The sequence below is a fragment of the Homo sapiens genome, chromosome X, assembly GCF_000001405.40.
Source record: "Homo sapiens chromosome X, GRCh38.p14 Primary Assembly".
Classification (NCBI taxonomy): Eukaryota; Metazoa; Chordata; class Mammalia; order Primates; family Hominidae; genus Homo; species Homo sapiens.
Window position 1 is genome coordinate 71,531,858 of NC_000023.11, and position 14,968 is coordinate 71,546,825.

A 14,968-nucleotide genomic window follows, 5' to 3' on the forward strand; every position below is an offset into this window, starting at 1 on the left:
GTTGACTGTTTTGAAGAAATTTAAGCAGAATTTGAGGACTTAGTTTTAAAAAATGTAGTGAAGGGGCTAGGTAGCAAAAACTTTTTGAAGAAATTCATTGACCTGCTTTCTTAGATCAAGGACTTTTTGAAATAAAAAGGCTCTCAGAGATCCAACTTGTAGCCTCCAGTGGCTTGTAATACTTTCTTGCTGATGTGGCAAGCTACCTTAAGTCGTTTCTAGAACAAGAGGTGAAGTATAAATACCAATGTGACAAAATGTCTGAACAGTAGACTTGAAACTGCAGGAAGATCGTAAGAACCGATTTGTTCAAGGAAGTAGAGGCAATTCATGACTCAATCTAGACGTGTGGTTTAGGCAGATGGCAAGTGAATTCATTTATCATTGTTGATCTGCTTTGAGCTCAGTGGAATCGCCGACTGTGACAATGTGCAGAGCTAGCTGGTGGAAATGAAGTCACAACTCGAGGAGAGTCATGGATTTTGACGAACGTGAATCACCTTTAACATTTTTATGGCTGCCTTCGGAGTGCAAACGCCCAGCATGTCCCTGAGTTATTAAACATTTGCCCTATCACCGTGGGCAGGAGTATTCTGAATACCAAAACGATTTTGAAATTTCAGGCTATACGGCCAACATTGAAGGTGTCTGCATTCAACTGGCCCTGTGAAAGCTTCAGTCTTTTTCATCGAAGTGCTGAAATCGATGGCCGAGTCACAATGAAGACGGGCTCAAATCGGAACCCTCTCGCTCCTCGTTTTGAGCAGCTGTCTTTGAGAGGCAATCTTCTGAATTGACTGGCTCAGAATTGATCCGTGAGAGTCGTAACCATCCGTTTTTGTACGAATACAGTTGATAAACTTTTTTAGACGCCTTTGGCATTTATGTTTAAAACGACACCACCTGCTAAGTAACAAACACTCTTCTTAATCGCGGTGGCAAAAACGTATCCGTCCCGTGTGTGTTTGTTTTTACCCTTCCGCTACACTCTTAAGAAACTTGGCCGCTTCCGCCCCAGAGAGTGCCCTAACCACGAGTCGGGTTGACAGGGCTGCTCGCATGCGCGGTCTCCACCGTGGTGTTTGTCGCAATGGGCGCTGCGCGGAGGACTACATGGAATCTCGACTTTGCAGCTTGAAGTCATTTTGTTGGCGGCGCTGGTTACCGGCTACCTCCGCGCGGGCACTTGATTGTAACAGAAAGTAGTTCCGGCCCATGTTGTTTCGGCCGAGGAGCCGTCGCCGCCATTTCAAGACCGTACTAGGTAGATGGTCAATTAGAGTTCCCAGGGTTTGAAGCCTGTAACTGCTGCCGCCGCTCAAGCCCTCCAGAGCATTGCTACGGCTGCTGCCCTTGTACTACTACCTCCAAATACGTTCTTGCTGGTAGTGGCGGCAGCAGGACCAATTACCTCTTTTTTGCTCTCCCTCGAGAAGCTCCAGATGGCGTCTTCCGTGGGCAACGTGGCCGACAGCACAGGTACCGGTGTCCCGTTCTACCTTGGCAGATGCCCCCTTGGGGTCTCGCGCCGTCCTCTACCTTGTATCACTCCTTCCCTCCCTTCCCTCGAACCATCCCCATTACATCAGTGACATTGCTAAGCTTTTCGTGGTCTACTGGCATCTGATCACATCGGGTTTTCCGCTGTTGTCCGCTTCCCGAACATTTCCTCCTCCTCCCTTGCTTGCTTTTTGCTGCCTTTCTTGCTTTGTTTTTATTTCGTAAATGTTCTAGCATTCCACTCTCTCCAGGCGCTTTTATCACACGTGCGCGCTTAGAATGTCGTGGAATGGACTGCATTGGAATCCCTGCCCTTTCACTCCTTTGCAGCGGTTTTCTCCCCTAATTCCAGCTCATCGCCTCTCCTTTTTCCCCTCCATCTCCTCCTTCATCTCCCCCCCCAGTCTTTTCCCCTTAGCCAGATTTGGTCCTTCTCTGCCAATCTAGGGCGGGGGTGCCGTTCCGATGTAATCATATCCTCACTTTGCATCACCCGAGGACGATCAAAAGCTCGTCGATGGTGCCACAAGTCACCTCGAGAAGAGGGGACATTGAGCAGCACCCTGCTAGGCAGTGCCTTTCTGGTGTTCTTTCGGTTGAGCGGTCCCGGTTTAGATTGGAAATTTCCAGGGGTTTCCTTTGCCATCGCCCAATTCCACCGCTGCCCTCAGCCTGGATTTCCCACCCTGTCCGCGGGGAACCACACCCTTCCCTTCGCGAGGTTGCCAGCCCTGTTCACTTCCTATCCTTGGGGGAGAAACCACCCCGATGCTGCTGCTTTGGCGTTGACCACCCTGCCCGCCCAATTCTCGCTTTGTGTTACTTTCTCGATGTATTCCTCCGCCGCCGCCTCTGGGTCTGCCATCCCCATTCTTCAGCCCAGTATCTCTTTATTCACAGGGTGTAATATTCTTTTAAGTTTCCATCCCTGCTTGAAGAGTTTGTAAAGCAACTGGAGTGTAGCTGCACAAGTACAAGGCGGTTGCCCTTTTAGACACTTCAGTCGCGAGCATTTGGTACTGAAAATACGAAAACAACCAAATTGTAGGAGTGTCCTTCAGCTGCCTTTCCATATTGAGGCGATTTGGGCGGAAGGGGGTGGGGAATTGGGCTGCGCTTCTGAGGTTTCCCGCGAGGTTATTTTTTGGTTGTTTCTCAGTTGAGATGTGTGGAGGGTTTTAGCTACTGTTCCTGGAAGTTGTGCTGTAAGTAGTAGGTGAATCGTCAATAGTGTCTTATCCGTAATTGTAGGGAGTGGGATTAATAATTAGTCCGTGCTCCTCTCCCCACGTCTCCACCGTGATTTTCAAAGGTTTAAGATTCTGTACTGGATTCTGTACTAGCTTGCCCTTTTTAATGTGTTATTTATTTGAGAAAGCTGTCGTTTCAAGTGTTAAAATAGCAGATAAGCGGCATTGAAAAGTGACAAAGTAATGTGTGAAAACAAGGAGCTAGGAAGTTCTAGAGACTTAGCTAAAATGTAATTTTAGTTTCTATTAAAGATATAACCTCTCCCAGATGTGGATGCAAGTCTCAATGCTCTTTGTGTTGGTGGTCAGCTGTGCATTCTGTCAGGAAATTTACTTTGCTTTCCTCAGTATCCGGAACGCTCATCAGCTCTGATGATTGGGGAGCTGGGCTCAAATTTGAACTAGTCACCTTAACCTTGGTAGAATTAAATAATTTGTCCATGGTTTCCCATTTCAACCAGCTAGTGAAGTGCTACGGTCGAATTCCCAGTTTAAGTATTTACAGTTGTGACAAGCAGTTTTTTTTTTTTTTTTTTCCCTCTCTGGGCTTTAGCTATATCCTTTAAAGATCTTTATGTATCTGGATTAAGTCACTTGCAGCGAAGTGCTTTTATTTATTCATTATGTTGCGCTTTATCAAATATATTTTAGCGTCCATCCTCCCTCCCTCCCAACGTTTTGACCATTGCAGTTGCAGGTAACTGCCTGGCTTATATAGGCTTGTTTGCAATGTCTTAATCCTTTAGTCAATACCAGAGCTGTTTGGAAAATGTTAGTGCTAAACCAACGTGGGTGGGATTTAGCCAATTTAGTCTCCTTTTGAGTTTGGGATGGTAGAGGAGCAGTGTAATCTTGGGTCTTTATTTAAAATGTTTGATGACCCCTTTAACTATTTTGGCTGTTGTCAAATGACAAACATCTTGTTTATCAGCTGTTTTAAAAATAGCACTTTGACTTTTTGGTTTTTCCCTTAGGCTCGTTTCTACTTGTCCTTTTAAAGAATTAAATTCTGAAATATACAAAAATTGATATAATTTAAAGAATTAACACATCTGGTGTCCTCACTGAGGTTAAGATTGATAGATTGTTACCAGTACTCCACCTCAACAAATCCAACCTGAAATATGGCACAAAATATTACGTTTCCCAATATGTTATTCTGATATTATTAAGTCTTTGTGACCTTGCAAATCACACGTTTAATATTTTGTTTCTGTATGTTAACTAAGGTATAAGGAATAATGTTCAGTGAATCCTTAGATGCTACCTATGATTTATAATTTAAAAGTACAAAGTATTTTTGGTCATAAAATGTAATCTCATATGGAAGTAAATATTCCTTTCTAGTTTGGGAAAGAAAGTATTAATGGGTGAATTCTAAAAATGCCAATTCTGCACTTGATGTTAACTTGAAGATATACATAACGTGCAGAACACTCTAGTGCTTTACATAGTTTCAAGCATTTCCATTTTTAAGTTAAATATACCATATTTTTACATTTTTTTGGTTTACATTTCTAACTTTTTGTTTTCCCCCCTCCTTCCCTCAAATGTTTTGATGATTCTCCAGAACCAACGAAACGTATGCTTTCCTTCCAAGGGTTAGCTGAGTTGGCACATCGAGAATATCAGGCAGGAGATTTTGAGGCAGCTGAGAGACACTGCATGCAGCTCTGGAGACAAGAGCCAGACAATACTGGTGTGCTTTTATTACTTTCATCTATACACTTCCAGTGTCGAAGGCTGGACAGGTAGGAGATGTTGGGGTACCTGCTCGTGATTGCTGCCTCTGGGTGCTGAGCTTGAAAAATGATACTTAAATATTTGAACTTGAAATTTTTCCAGTACCGGGTTTCAACTGAGCCGCCAACGCACATCTGCTCTCTTGCCCACTTGTGACATGCCCAGCTGCCAGTTTTTCTCCTTCCTTTTGTGGTGGTGGTTATATTATCAGTATGACTAGGGACCTTTTCTAGATTTTTCTATCTGGGTCTGCTGCTTTCTAGACTCTGTTCAGGTAATAAATTATTATCAATGTATATCTGAGCATCCAGTCTCCCTTTCATGAGACCTGTCAGTTTGAGGGACTGAAATGCTCAGAAATGATGGTTATGTATGCTGTGGCAGGAGATGCATACCTGGAGTTTCATTAAGTTGTTATGGTGTGTTGCTTTTAGTTAATCAGTTGAATTAATCAAAAGGGAAGAATTTGTGTTCCTGTCCTTTTAATAATTGTTATTCTGGCATATTTAGACACTTAAAGATGTGCATCATTAAATCTTAAATGGAAAATGAGACTCGTGCACATAGCTTTCCATTTTTTATCTTAATGATCATGATTTCCAATGTGGTGGGTTTTTTTTTTTTTTTTTTTTTTTGAGACGGAGTTTCGCTCTTGTTGCCTAGGCTGGAGTGCAGCGGCGCCATCTCGGCTCACTGCAACTCTGCCTCCTGGGTTCAAGCGATTCTTCTGCCTCAGCCTCCTGAGTAGCTGGGATTACAGGCATGTGCCACCACGCCCAGCTAATTTTTGTATTTTTAGTAGAAACGGGGTTTCTCCATGTTGGTCAGGCTGGTCTCAAACTCCCGACCTCAGGTGATCTGCTCGCATTGGCTTCCCAAAGTGCTGGGATTACAGACATCAGCCACCGCGCCCGGCCAATGTGGTAGTTTTGTAACAAGACTCTAGTTAGAATTTTTTTCTTTTTTTTGAGGTGGAGTTTTGCTCTTGTCACCCAGGCTGGAGTGCAGTGGCGCAATCTCAGCTCACTGCAACCTCCGCCTCCCGGGTTCAAGCGATTCTCCTGCCTCAGCCTCCTGAGTAGTTGAGATTACAGGCGCCTGCCATCATGCGTGGCTAAATTTTTGTATTTTTAGTGGAGACGGGGTTTCACCATATTGGCCAGGCTGGTCTCGAACACCTGACCTCAGGTGATCCTCCCGCCTCAGCCTCCCAAAGTGCTGGGATTACAGGCGTGAGCCACTGCGCCCAGCCAATAATTTTATTTAATAAGAAAAAGCTTTTCATTTTGAAATCTAGAATACCTCCACTTTTGAAAATCTTTGATTTCCCAAATTTTTCTTGCTATGCACTAGTTAAAAGATAAGGTATTATATAATGAGCAATAGCACAGATCTCAAACTGTTTGAGTTGCATATGGGCCATACCTTCTTTTCTGTAACGTGCATACCCATGCATTAACACTTGTCGCCTTTTCCAGATCTGCTCACTTTAGCACTCTGGCAATTAAACAGAACCCCCTTCTGGCAGAAGCTTATTCGAATTTGGGGAATGTGTACAAGGAAAGAGGGCAGTTGCAGGAGGCAATTGAGCATTATCGACATGCATTGCGTCTCAAACCTGATTTCATCGATGGTTATATTAACCTGGCAGCCGCCTTGGTAGCAGCGGGTGACATGGAAGGGGCAGTACAAGCTTACGTCTCTGCTCTTCAGTACAATCCTGTGAGTAAAATTTTAATGGTTACTTTCCCTTCCTAGAAACCCAGAAAGAAACATAGTGTGATATTTCAGACACTAAAGTAGGTTTTCACATGGAATAAAGTCAAAAGTTTAGAAATGCGTATGTACTTAAAATGGTGAAATTGCTTTTAGCTGGTCTGCGTTATGCTAAAATATTTGTTTTATTTAGCAAGTTATATTAAAAAGCATAAAAATTCTTATTGCAAGAAACTACATCAATTTTAAAATAACACGTATAAAGTACAGAGCACATGACTTTTTTCTGTTGTGATTAACTTTGGATAAATTCTGATAAGTGTTTGCAAGTTAATTGATTTTCAAGGAATGGTGGATAATGGGTCTTAATCTGTAAAATCTGTAATATAAAATAGTTTGAAACAAGATGCCACTATATGGAATGATGTGAAAATTAGGCTACAAAATTTCTTCCTCAATATCCTATTCTCTTCTCTTTCAATGTAATTAGAAGTCATAGAATTTAGATGATACTACTTATACTGGGCTTTTGATTAGTTTAAAAATTTTTTTTGTCTAAGTTGCAGATGTGTTCTGGGAACAAGTAAGGCTCAGCTGGCAGACCTTAAATTCATACTGTGTTTAGGATCTCCGAAAGATACAAAAACATAAGACTTTCCCTCAGAACTTATGATGTAGTTAGAGAAAGTAGATGTAAACTTAAGAGGTAAATGATAGTGGGGTTATAGAAATCTAGAAAAAGTTCCCAAGTTACATTGTCAACATTCAGTTTTGTAACCAACCTGGAAATGGCTAATAGTTTATTTTAGCTACCGTTTACTGAAAGTCTGTGTGGTCAGACACTCTACTGACAGCTTTAAATGATTGGTCTTAGTTAATCCTCACAATAATTCTTCAAAATAGATGATATTATTTCTGATTTTTATCAATTAAAAAAAAACCATGGACTCAGGGTTATGTGGCTTTCATGGGGACAAAGCTAGTAATGAAGTATTAATAGATATTAAAACCTGAGTCTGAATATCCTCAAAGCAAATGTTGAAGTGAAAAGAAATAAAAGTGGGATGATGTGCCCAGAGGGCACTCACCCATCAAAGCAGCCCTTGAGCACAGTTAAAAAACCATTGATCATATTTTGCTGTCCCTTATTTTTTGGTTAGGAAACTGAAACTAAATTTAGTAGTTTGTTCAAAGATCCGAAGTCACTTCTCATGATGATATCTATTAACAATTTTTGTAGTTAATTTTGAGAGTTTAAACGTGTCCTTTTTAGAAAATCCATTGCTTTAAAAAACATTTTTTTTTAAGAGATGGAGTCTTGCTATGTTGCCCAGGCTGTACTCATACTCCTGGGCTCAAGCAGTCCTCCTGCCTCAGCCTCCAGAGTAGCTGGGACTATAGGTGTGTGCCACCACACCCAGCTTCTAAATTTATTGGTTTTTGAATGGATACAGTGAATACCTCCAGTTAGCACTCTTGGAGGTAGCAAATGAAACTAATTTCTTGTCTATCTTTTCTGAGACACTCAGTGTATATATATGTACATTTGAGTGACTTTTTGTAAGTTTTATTGCAATACTAATCTAGCTAGTTACCCACATAAAGTTTTAGGGAGCCTGGTATGTACTGCCACTGGGCCTTGGACCCCATTTTTCCCAGGGCTCAGGGCTCACCTCTGTACCCAGTTGTCACAGTAAGTTCTTTACCTTTATTAATCAGGTTGATTCTACTCTTATTGATAGTGTACCCTCTTACACAGCTGTGGTTCTTGCCATCTTTAACTCTAATGCCCTTGGCTCAGGTTTCCAGTTGCCTATGTGTGTAGCAGAGCAGTCATTGCTACTGATAGTGTACCCAAGCAGTAGGACTATGCTGAGAAGGAAAACTAAAGTGAGAGATGGAACCTTGCTATTTAATATCTAACCTGCTGTTAGCAGGAAGCTTATTGTTGTACCCTACCAAGGAAGTGAGATAGTACTAAAATAAATCATGGGATTACCTCTTGAATGCATTGAATGGCCATGTGTTGTCATCTGGTTCTATGTTTCTTCTAGTGGAAGGTGCTGCTTTACTTATTTATTACTGTTTTTACCAATAAGAATGAAAATGGGATTGTGCAAGTTCCCTTGATTTCAACTAAACATGCCATAGTGATCATATTTTAATTTATTTCAGGATATCTAAAGTCTTAACTAGATTTAAACTTACTGTCAAATGCCCGTTGTCAGTTCAGTACTGGTAGAACCTTGCGTCTGTTCCTTATGTTCTTGTTGACAGTGCTTAAATGCATCATTAGTACATTGTGTACCTGAATCATAGATGTAGTTGGCATTCTATGAAAAATGGTTAAAGAAACTCAGGTTATTTTGGTTTTGCAGCAGTGAAAGAGTAGAATGTTAAGGTGGTATCTTTGGTAACCTTGGTAACTGTTTTCAACAGTGTTTATCTTTTTAAGTTAATAGATATGTCAATTTAGAAGTTGTTCTCTGTGACTTGATTATAGAAATTATCTTTGAGACAGCTATCTCATTTTTTTCATTCTGAATTATCTTCTATAATTATAATGTTGGGTGTTTTCATAATTTTGGTAAGATTTTAGTCTGTCATTTTTTTTTTTTTTTTGGAGACGGAGTTTTGCCCTTGTCACCCAGGCTGGAGTGCAGTGGCGCGATCTCGGCTCACTGCAACCTCTGCCTCCTGGGTTCAAACGATTCTTCTGCCTCAGCCTCCGAAGTAGCTGGGATCACAGGTGCCCACCACCATGCCTGGCTAATTTTTTGTATTTTTACAAAAACAGGCTTTCACCATGTTGGCCAGGCTTGTCTTGAACTCCTGGCCTCAACAGATCCGCCTGCTTCAGCCTCCCAAAGTGCTGGGATTACAGGCGTGAACCACTGTGCCTGGCAGTCTGTTGTATTTGAAGGTGTTATTGCAGATAGCACCTTGCAGTGACAGCACATGTTCTTTGACATGGTGACTCACTAGAGTTGCCTATACCTGGCAATTCCTTTTGCAAATTATGTATAAAATTGTCCTTTCTGTAACGGCTATAACCCTGAGTTGTTTTAAACAGGTCTGTTTCTGAATCTATAGGTTGTTGAATTGTTGCTTGTGCTTTGATTGTGGATGCACAGAATGGAGAGCTGCTGGCATCCTGGCCATCATGTGTGTTCCTGTCATGTTATTTGTTACTTGTTACTGCTGAGCCTCTCTTATACAGCTGCACTGTAGAAAACCATATATTTCGATTCTTCTCTGTTCTGCTTTCTGTTGTATATTTCGATTCTTCTCTGTTCTGCTTTTTGTTAAGGTTGCTGTGCAAATGTCACATTTAAATATGTGAGTGCTTATTGTGCATACAATGCTTTGTTAGGAAATGGGGAGATGTGTTGTGGGGGAAGTTGCGGGTTATAATATAAGACAGGACCTGACCCGTAAAGGAAAAAATGGTGTAAGTTCCTTGGATGATAATTGTTGGAGAGTATTAATCAGAAGATTTCCTCGAGTGGGTGCTTATGACCTAAGCATTCTGTAGGAAGGTAAATAGCAAGTAGACTTCCTTGGCTGAAGTGGTGAGTCAAGTAGTAACAAGAAGTGAATGTAGTAGAGGAGAGTCAATTGGAAGATTTATAAAGAATAGAGAGGCTGAGGAGTTTGAATTTAATTTGAGAGGCAATTGAGAATTACTGTAGGTTTTTATCGACCTGATTTTACTTCATATGTATGTACGTGTCTAGATGTTGTGGCTGGTGGGGGTGGGAGGCTCTAGGAGGAAAGGCAGGAAACTGATGCAATCTTAGGAGAAATAGTTCTACAGGAAAATCTTGCTCATTTCTATCTCCTTTTATTCTCACGATTTTCCCTTGTATACAGTGCCCTCCTCCTTTGTCTATTAAAACCCTACTCATCCTTCAAGGCCCAGCTTAAACTTCTCTTATGAGCTCATCATCTAGTTCTCTTAAAATTCTTTACTACTGAGTGGGCATTTAGTGTGTGCCTTGTCTTTTCACATAGATTGTAAGCCCCTTGATGATAAGGATTCTATATCTTTTCCCTATAGTTCCAGGCATGTTATTGAATTGAGTAACAGTTTGCCTGAAATGTATTAACCTGGGATGGATAAAATGGGCTAGTTTTGAGAAATATAATTGTCAAAAACATTTTGATTTGACAGATGAAGCAGAAGTGATGTCTTGGGTTTTGAACTTTTGGGAGAATGGTGGTGCCCGTGCGTTTTCTAGAAATTAGCTGTTCATGCACATAGGTTTGGATCCCCAAACAGGAGAATTGGATTTCACCGTTACATTTAATATGATGTTTTAGCTTTTCCTAAAACTGCCTTATTGATTATCTTATAGTAATCTTGAAGATAATGTATTTTTAACTATGAGCATTGTGTTAACTTGATATAGTATACTGTAATGGATCTAGATGATAACAAAATATAGATATGCTGTCAGGACTTAAGTGGCATCCATCCAAGAGTTCATAGAAACTAGAGGGTAATAAAATTACGCAACAGCTGGCTACTATGTATGGCCATTACAGTCATTGTTGGAGAATTATTGCAAGACTTCTGATTATTATGACTTAGAAAAGGCATAGGAATTGGTAAAAGTCCAAACATGTATAACCACAATTATCAAGTAGTAGAAGGAGCTTGTATGCATGGATTGGATTATGCAGTCATGGTCTGCCAAAACAGGGGTAACCCTTTCAGTTTAGAAAAAAACATAACCATACAAAGTAGATAGCAAGATTATATAATTCATTACTTCTGAGAGTATAGTGTTAAAAAGTGCTCAGGCTAATTAGAGGAGAAGTCAAATAAGATTAATGGTACCTTTGATGTTTTGAGGATTAGTATTAGCCTTTTGTGCTTGAAGTGATGGGAGACAACCTTACTCTCTAGAACATCAGTCATTGCTTGAAGGACAGTATTGAGTCAGGGAGATGATGGAACTGACCCAGTATGGCTGACCGTAAGATTGTTGTGTGGCAGCCTGTACTTTGTTGGCAGACTTTTTGGTTCACCTGATGGATGATACTATACAACCACAAAAGCTGTTTATCAGTAGAATTAAGTGATTTTGGAAACCATAATATAGTTCCAGAGCAAATCATATATATGATGATTTTTCGGCACAGTTGACAAAATTTCACTTTCTAGGACTTAAGTCTCTTTCACCCATGGAACAGTTTGGAATAATAAGCATACTTCCTGTTGTCATTGTTTCTGCCTGTTGACTGGTAGATGTGACTGACAATGGCAAAATAGGGCAAATAAAAATTTAAGCTCACTGTTGTGATGAGTGTCTCATCCAGATGAATGGACTGATGAGTCAGATGACTAGCAGCACAATTGAGCTGCTAATAAAAAGCAGAGTCAACTGCTTTTCATTATTCACCCACTCAACTCTAATGGCACTTAATACTAATGAGTAATCTAGTGGCAGGTGCCAGGATTGAGGCTTTGGTTGGATAATTCTTCTGCCCGATAGTGAAATGAAGTCAGAGTTTCTAAATATGCCTGACAGCCTAAGGGTAGGTTTGCTCATAGGTAGTCATTTGCTAAATATGTTTTTTTCCACTCTGGAAAATTTTCGGTCCTTGATACAGAAGTGATTCATCATAACCTTGAATAACATAGTTGGACAAATATTTGAGATGTGTGTGTGTGTGTGTGTGTGTGTGTGTGTGTATATATATATATATATATATATATATTTCCTTTTTTTTTTGAGACAAGAGTCTCTGTCGCCCAGGCTGGAGTGCAGTGGCACGATCTCGGCTAACTGCAGTCACTGCCTCCTGGGTTCAACCGATTCTCCTGCTTAAGCCTCCCAAATAGCTGGGATTACAGGCACACGCCACCATGCCCAGCTAATTTCATATTTTTAGTAGAGATGGGGTTTCGCCATGTTGGCCAGGTTGATCTCGAACTCCTGACCTCAGGTGATCCTCCCACCTCGCCCTCCCAAAGTGTGGGGATTACAGGCATGAGCCACCACGCCCGGCCTGATATATATATTTTTAATGTGACTGACATTTGGGGAGGAGAGAAAGAAGCTCTAGTAAGGTCCCATAGTATTTTATGTGAAGCTAATGGGGCCAAATGCATTTCAACATTCAGAATTTTTAGGATATTAGAAAGATAATACCATATATAAAACACCCAGAAAAGTCTGGAGCAGCACCTTTTAGTAAAACACATTTATATTTCTGCAGCAAAAGACAGTATTCATACTAAGTGAGATAATTAAATTCTATAAATAGTTTCATGTCACCTCAAGTCAGGTTTAACCCTCAAATGAGTTTTTGGAACTTTTTGGGATTTGGAATTGTGGATGAGGGGTTGTGGTCCTGCACTGAAGTTTGTCAGGCAGTATCTTTAGTTGATAGAATAAAATGGCAGGGAGCTAGATGCTTAAAAGTGATTTCAAGATATTTTTAATTGACAAAGCAGAGTATAATTAATGACAGCGTCTCTGGGTTTCTAGGATTTGTACTGTGTTCGCAGTGACCTGGGGAACCTGCTCAAAGCCCTGGGTCGCTTGGAAGAAGCCAAGGTAGGTGTTTGATAGAACACATTTAAACATCAGTATTATGAAAACTTGTACTTTTTGCCAAGTCTTCAACTCTTCATTGAGCTATCTTCACAAAACAGTCCTTTGAAACTGAGGAAAACTGACGGCACGAATCGCCTCAGAATAGAGCAGGGCCAGGCTTTGGCATATCTGTTCTAAATCTGGGGGTAAAGCAAGAACCTGAACATTTTGGAGCCTTTCTGCTGAGCTAGACCATCTTTATAACACTGGGCTCCGTCATGATCTTATGTGGGAATAAATAACATTCCTTCAAATCTGAGGCTTGCCTGCTGGTGACAAGCAGAGCGCCTGTGATTTGGCTCAAGACTCCTATATGATGCAGGTGCCATTGAAAATGCTGCTCTTCTAAGTCCTTTGTGGCTTGTAAGTGGAGAAGAATTTCATCCAAATGTTACCCTGTAATACTGGCATTTAAAATTCTTATTTAACCTTCCTCCCTTCATCTTCCTCACCCTTTTTACAGTGGAAGAAAGGCTGTTAAAATGATTACAAATTAATAATTGGAACATCCTGTCCCTTGTCCCCACTCCCTTCCCAAGTTCCTTTTTCCTCTTTTCCAATCCTAGTTGTCTACCTTCTTTTCTTCCTCATTTCCTTCTTTTATTCCTCCCCACCCCAACCCCTTAAAAAAAAGGTCAGAAGGACAAAGCTGGTTTGTTTGGGAAATGGACTGATCGAAAGAAAACTTGCCAAAGTGGAAAGGTGGCTTTTAGCATTCTGTGTTTCCAAATAATGAATTTGAACACCAGGTTGGGTTAATTAAAGCTTTTGGTATAATTTAAAATTAAATTTATAAATGCAGTTGTCTTGTTACAAGCCACCTTACGCAACCGCGCTGCAGGGGTGAGGAGTGGGGAGAAACCAGAATGCTTCTGAAACTCCCACCTGTTGCTCTGAGCCCCACGCGCATGCTAATGCGTGGAGTGTATGCGCAGAGTAGCTGTCTGTTTGACTGCTTCATCCAGGGAGGGAGAAGGCTTTTCAGCACCATCTAATGTTTTAAAAGGCACTAGTTTTAAGTGCACAGCTCATAAATTCTGCTGACATTTTGGATTAACCTTATGTAGGTTGCCAGCTAATGAATTGTAATTGATTTCAATCTTAGCTGATAAATCTAATTGGTAATTTATAGAACAAATATTTGATAAGCTCCTATTAATTGTCACCCCACCAAGCGGACAGCTAACATGAATTGCACTTCACTGCAGCTTTAGAGATCGGTTTAGGCTGAGACATTGCGCCTGCCTTAGGTTGCTGACTTCTTTATTTCAGAGCTCTGGAGACACCTAGTTTGAAAAATGTTATTCTGTTTTTTTGTGAGAACTTAGTAAACAAGAAAATACTCTTGAGTGAAATGCAATGTATTTCTTTTGTAATCAGTGCATTTGAAAATTCAAGCCAGCATATTCCTAGTAGATGGAAGCAAAATTAAGTTGTCTTTGTAGAAAATGAAGAGCCTTTCTTCCAGCAAAAATCCCTGCTGTATGCAATAGCCCTGATTAACCCTCTCCCTTCTGCATGTTTCCCATATTACAGACTTGAGACTGTCCTCATTCCCATATGTAATAGACATCCAAAGAATTTCAATTGCTTTGTTGAACTTTTACTAATGATCTTGTTTTTATTTTCTCTCTTGTTTTTGGTTTTTCACCATTGATATTGTATTTAGAAGGTTTCAGGTGGGTGAAACCTCCTATTCCATGCGTAAGGTGCCTCGCTGAAGGGAGCTCGAGGCCTGGATCTAGGGCAGACACACAACCTCCTCCTCCTCTTCCAGCAAGGAACGCACCGAAAAGTCACATGATGAGAAATATGGTAACGGGTTTGTAACTGCCACAGCAAAACAATTTGCCTCCATGCCTGAATCTTCTGTCTTGTGGCTTCAGAAACAGCTTAAAATAATTTTATTTACAAGCAAGTTATGTAAGAGAATGTTTTATACTATAGCCACAATTCTGTCAAAGATAAGTAAAAGTTAATTGATATTAAAAATTATTAGAGATAATTTACTTAGTAAAAGCTTCTAACTCTTCTTGTTGTTCATTTTTTTTCCTTTTTTCTTCTTTGTTTGGATTGCAGCATTCTGCTCTTCTGATGATGCGCTGTGACCCTGCAGTAGCGCAAAGGCTGCGCAGCGTTAATGCGCATTGC

General features: G+C 40.6%; 1 protein-coding gene across 2 annotated transcripts in view, besides 4 other annotated features; it reads left to right on the forward strand.

Annotated features, from left to right (window-relative positions):
- Positions 298-1,497: an enhancer, noted in NCBI's record as "MED14-independent group 3 enhancer chrX:70752005-70753204 (GRCh37/hg19 assembly coordinates)". NCBI's record gives its function as "activates an origin of replication core promoter dependent on BRD2, BRD4, P300/CBP and CDK7 cofactors, and independent of MED14, by STARR-seq in HCT116 cells {active_cell/tissue: HCT116}" and the evidence as "EXISTENCE:reporter gene assay evidence [ECO:0000049][PMID:35650434]".
- Positions 298-1,821: a biological region, named in NCBI's record as "MED14-independent group 3 enhancer GRCh37_chrX:70752005-70753204".
- Positions 998-1,337: an enhancer, noted in NCBI's record as "active region_29744". NCBI's record gives its function as "activates an Ori minimal core promoter by ATAC-STARR-seq in GM12878 lymphoblastoid cells {active_cell/tissue: GM12878}" and the evidence as "EXISTENCE:reporter gene assay evidence [ECO:0000049][PMID:35858748]".
- Positions 1,163-1,821: an enhancer, noted in NCBI's record as "H3K27ac hESC enhancer chrX:70752870-70753528 (GRCh37/hg19 assembly coordinates)". NCBI's record gives its function as "activates a minimal SCP1, AML or CMV promoter by ChIP-STARR-seq in naive H9 embryonic stem cells {active_cell/tissue: H9 hESC(naive)}" and the evidence as "EXISTENCE:reporter gene assay evidence [ECO:0000049][PMID:30033119]".
- OGT (O-linked N-acetylglucosamine (GlcNAc) transferase) overlaps positions 1,247-14,968 on the forward strand; it is a 42,789-nt gene continuing 29,067 nt past the window's right edge. Inside the window, exons 1-4 of one of the 2 annotated variants that reach the window (NM_181672.3) lie at positions 1,247-1,479; positions 4,321-4,501; positions 5,972-6,215; positions 12,710-12,778. In NM_181672.3, the coding sequence (NP_858058.1) occupies positions 1,443-1,479; positions 4,321-4,501; positions 5,972-6,215; positions 12,710-12,778 (531 nt within the window). In that variant the 5' untranslated portion in view covers positions 1,247-1,442. The remainder of the gene's footprint in view (positions 1,480-4,320; positions 4,502-5,971; positions 6,216-12,709; positions 12,779-14,968) is intronic. The other variant, NM_181673.3, reaches the window with a different exon arrangement.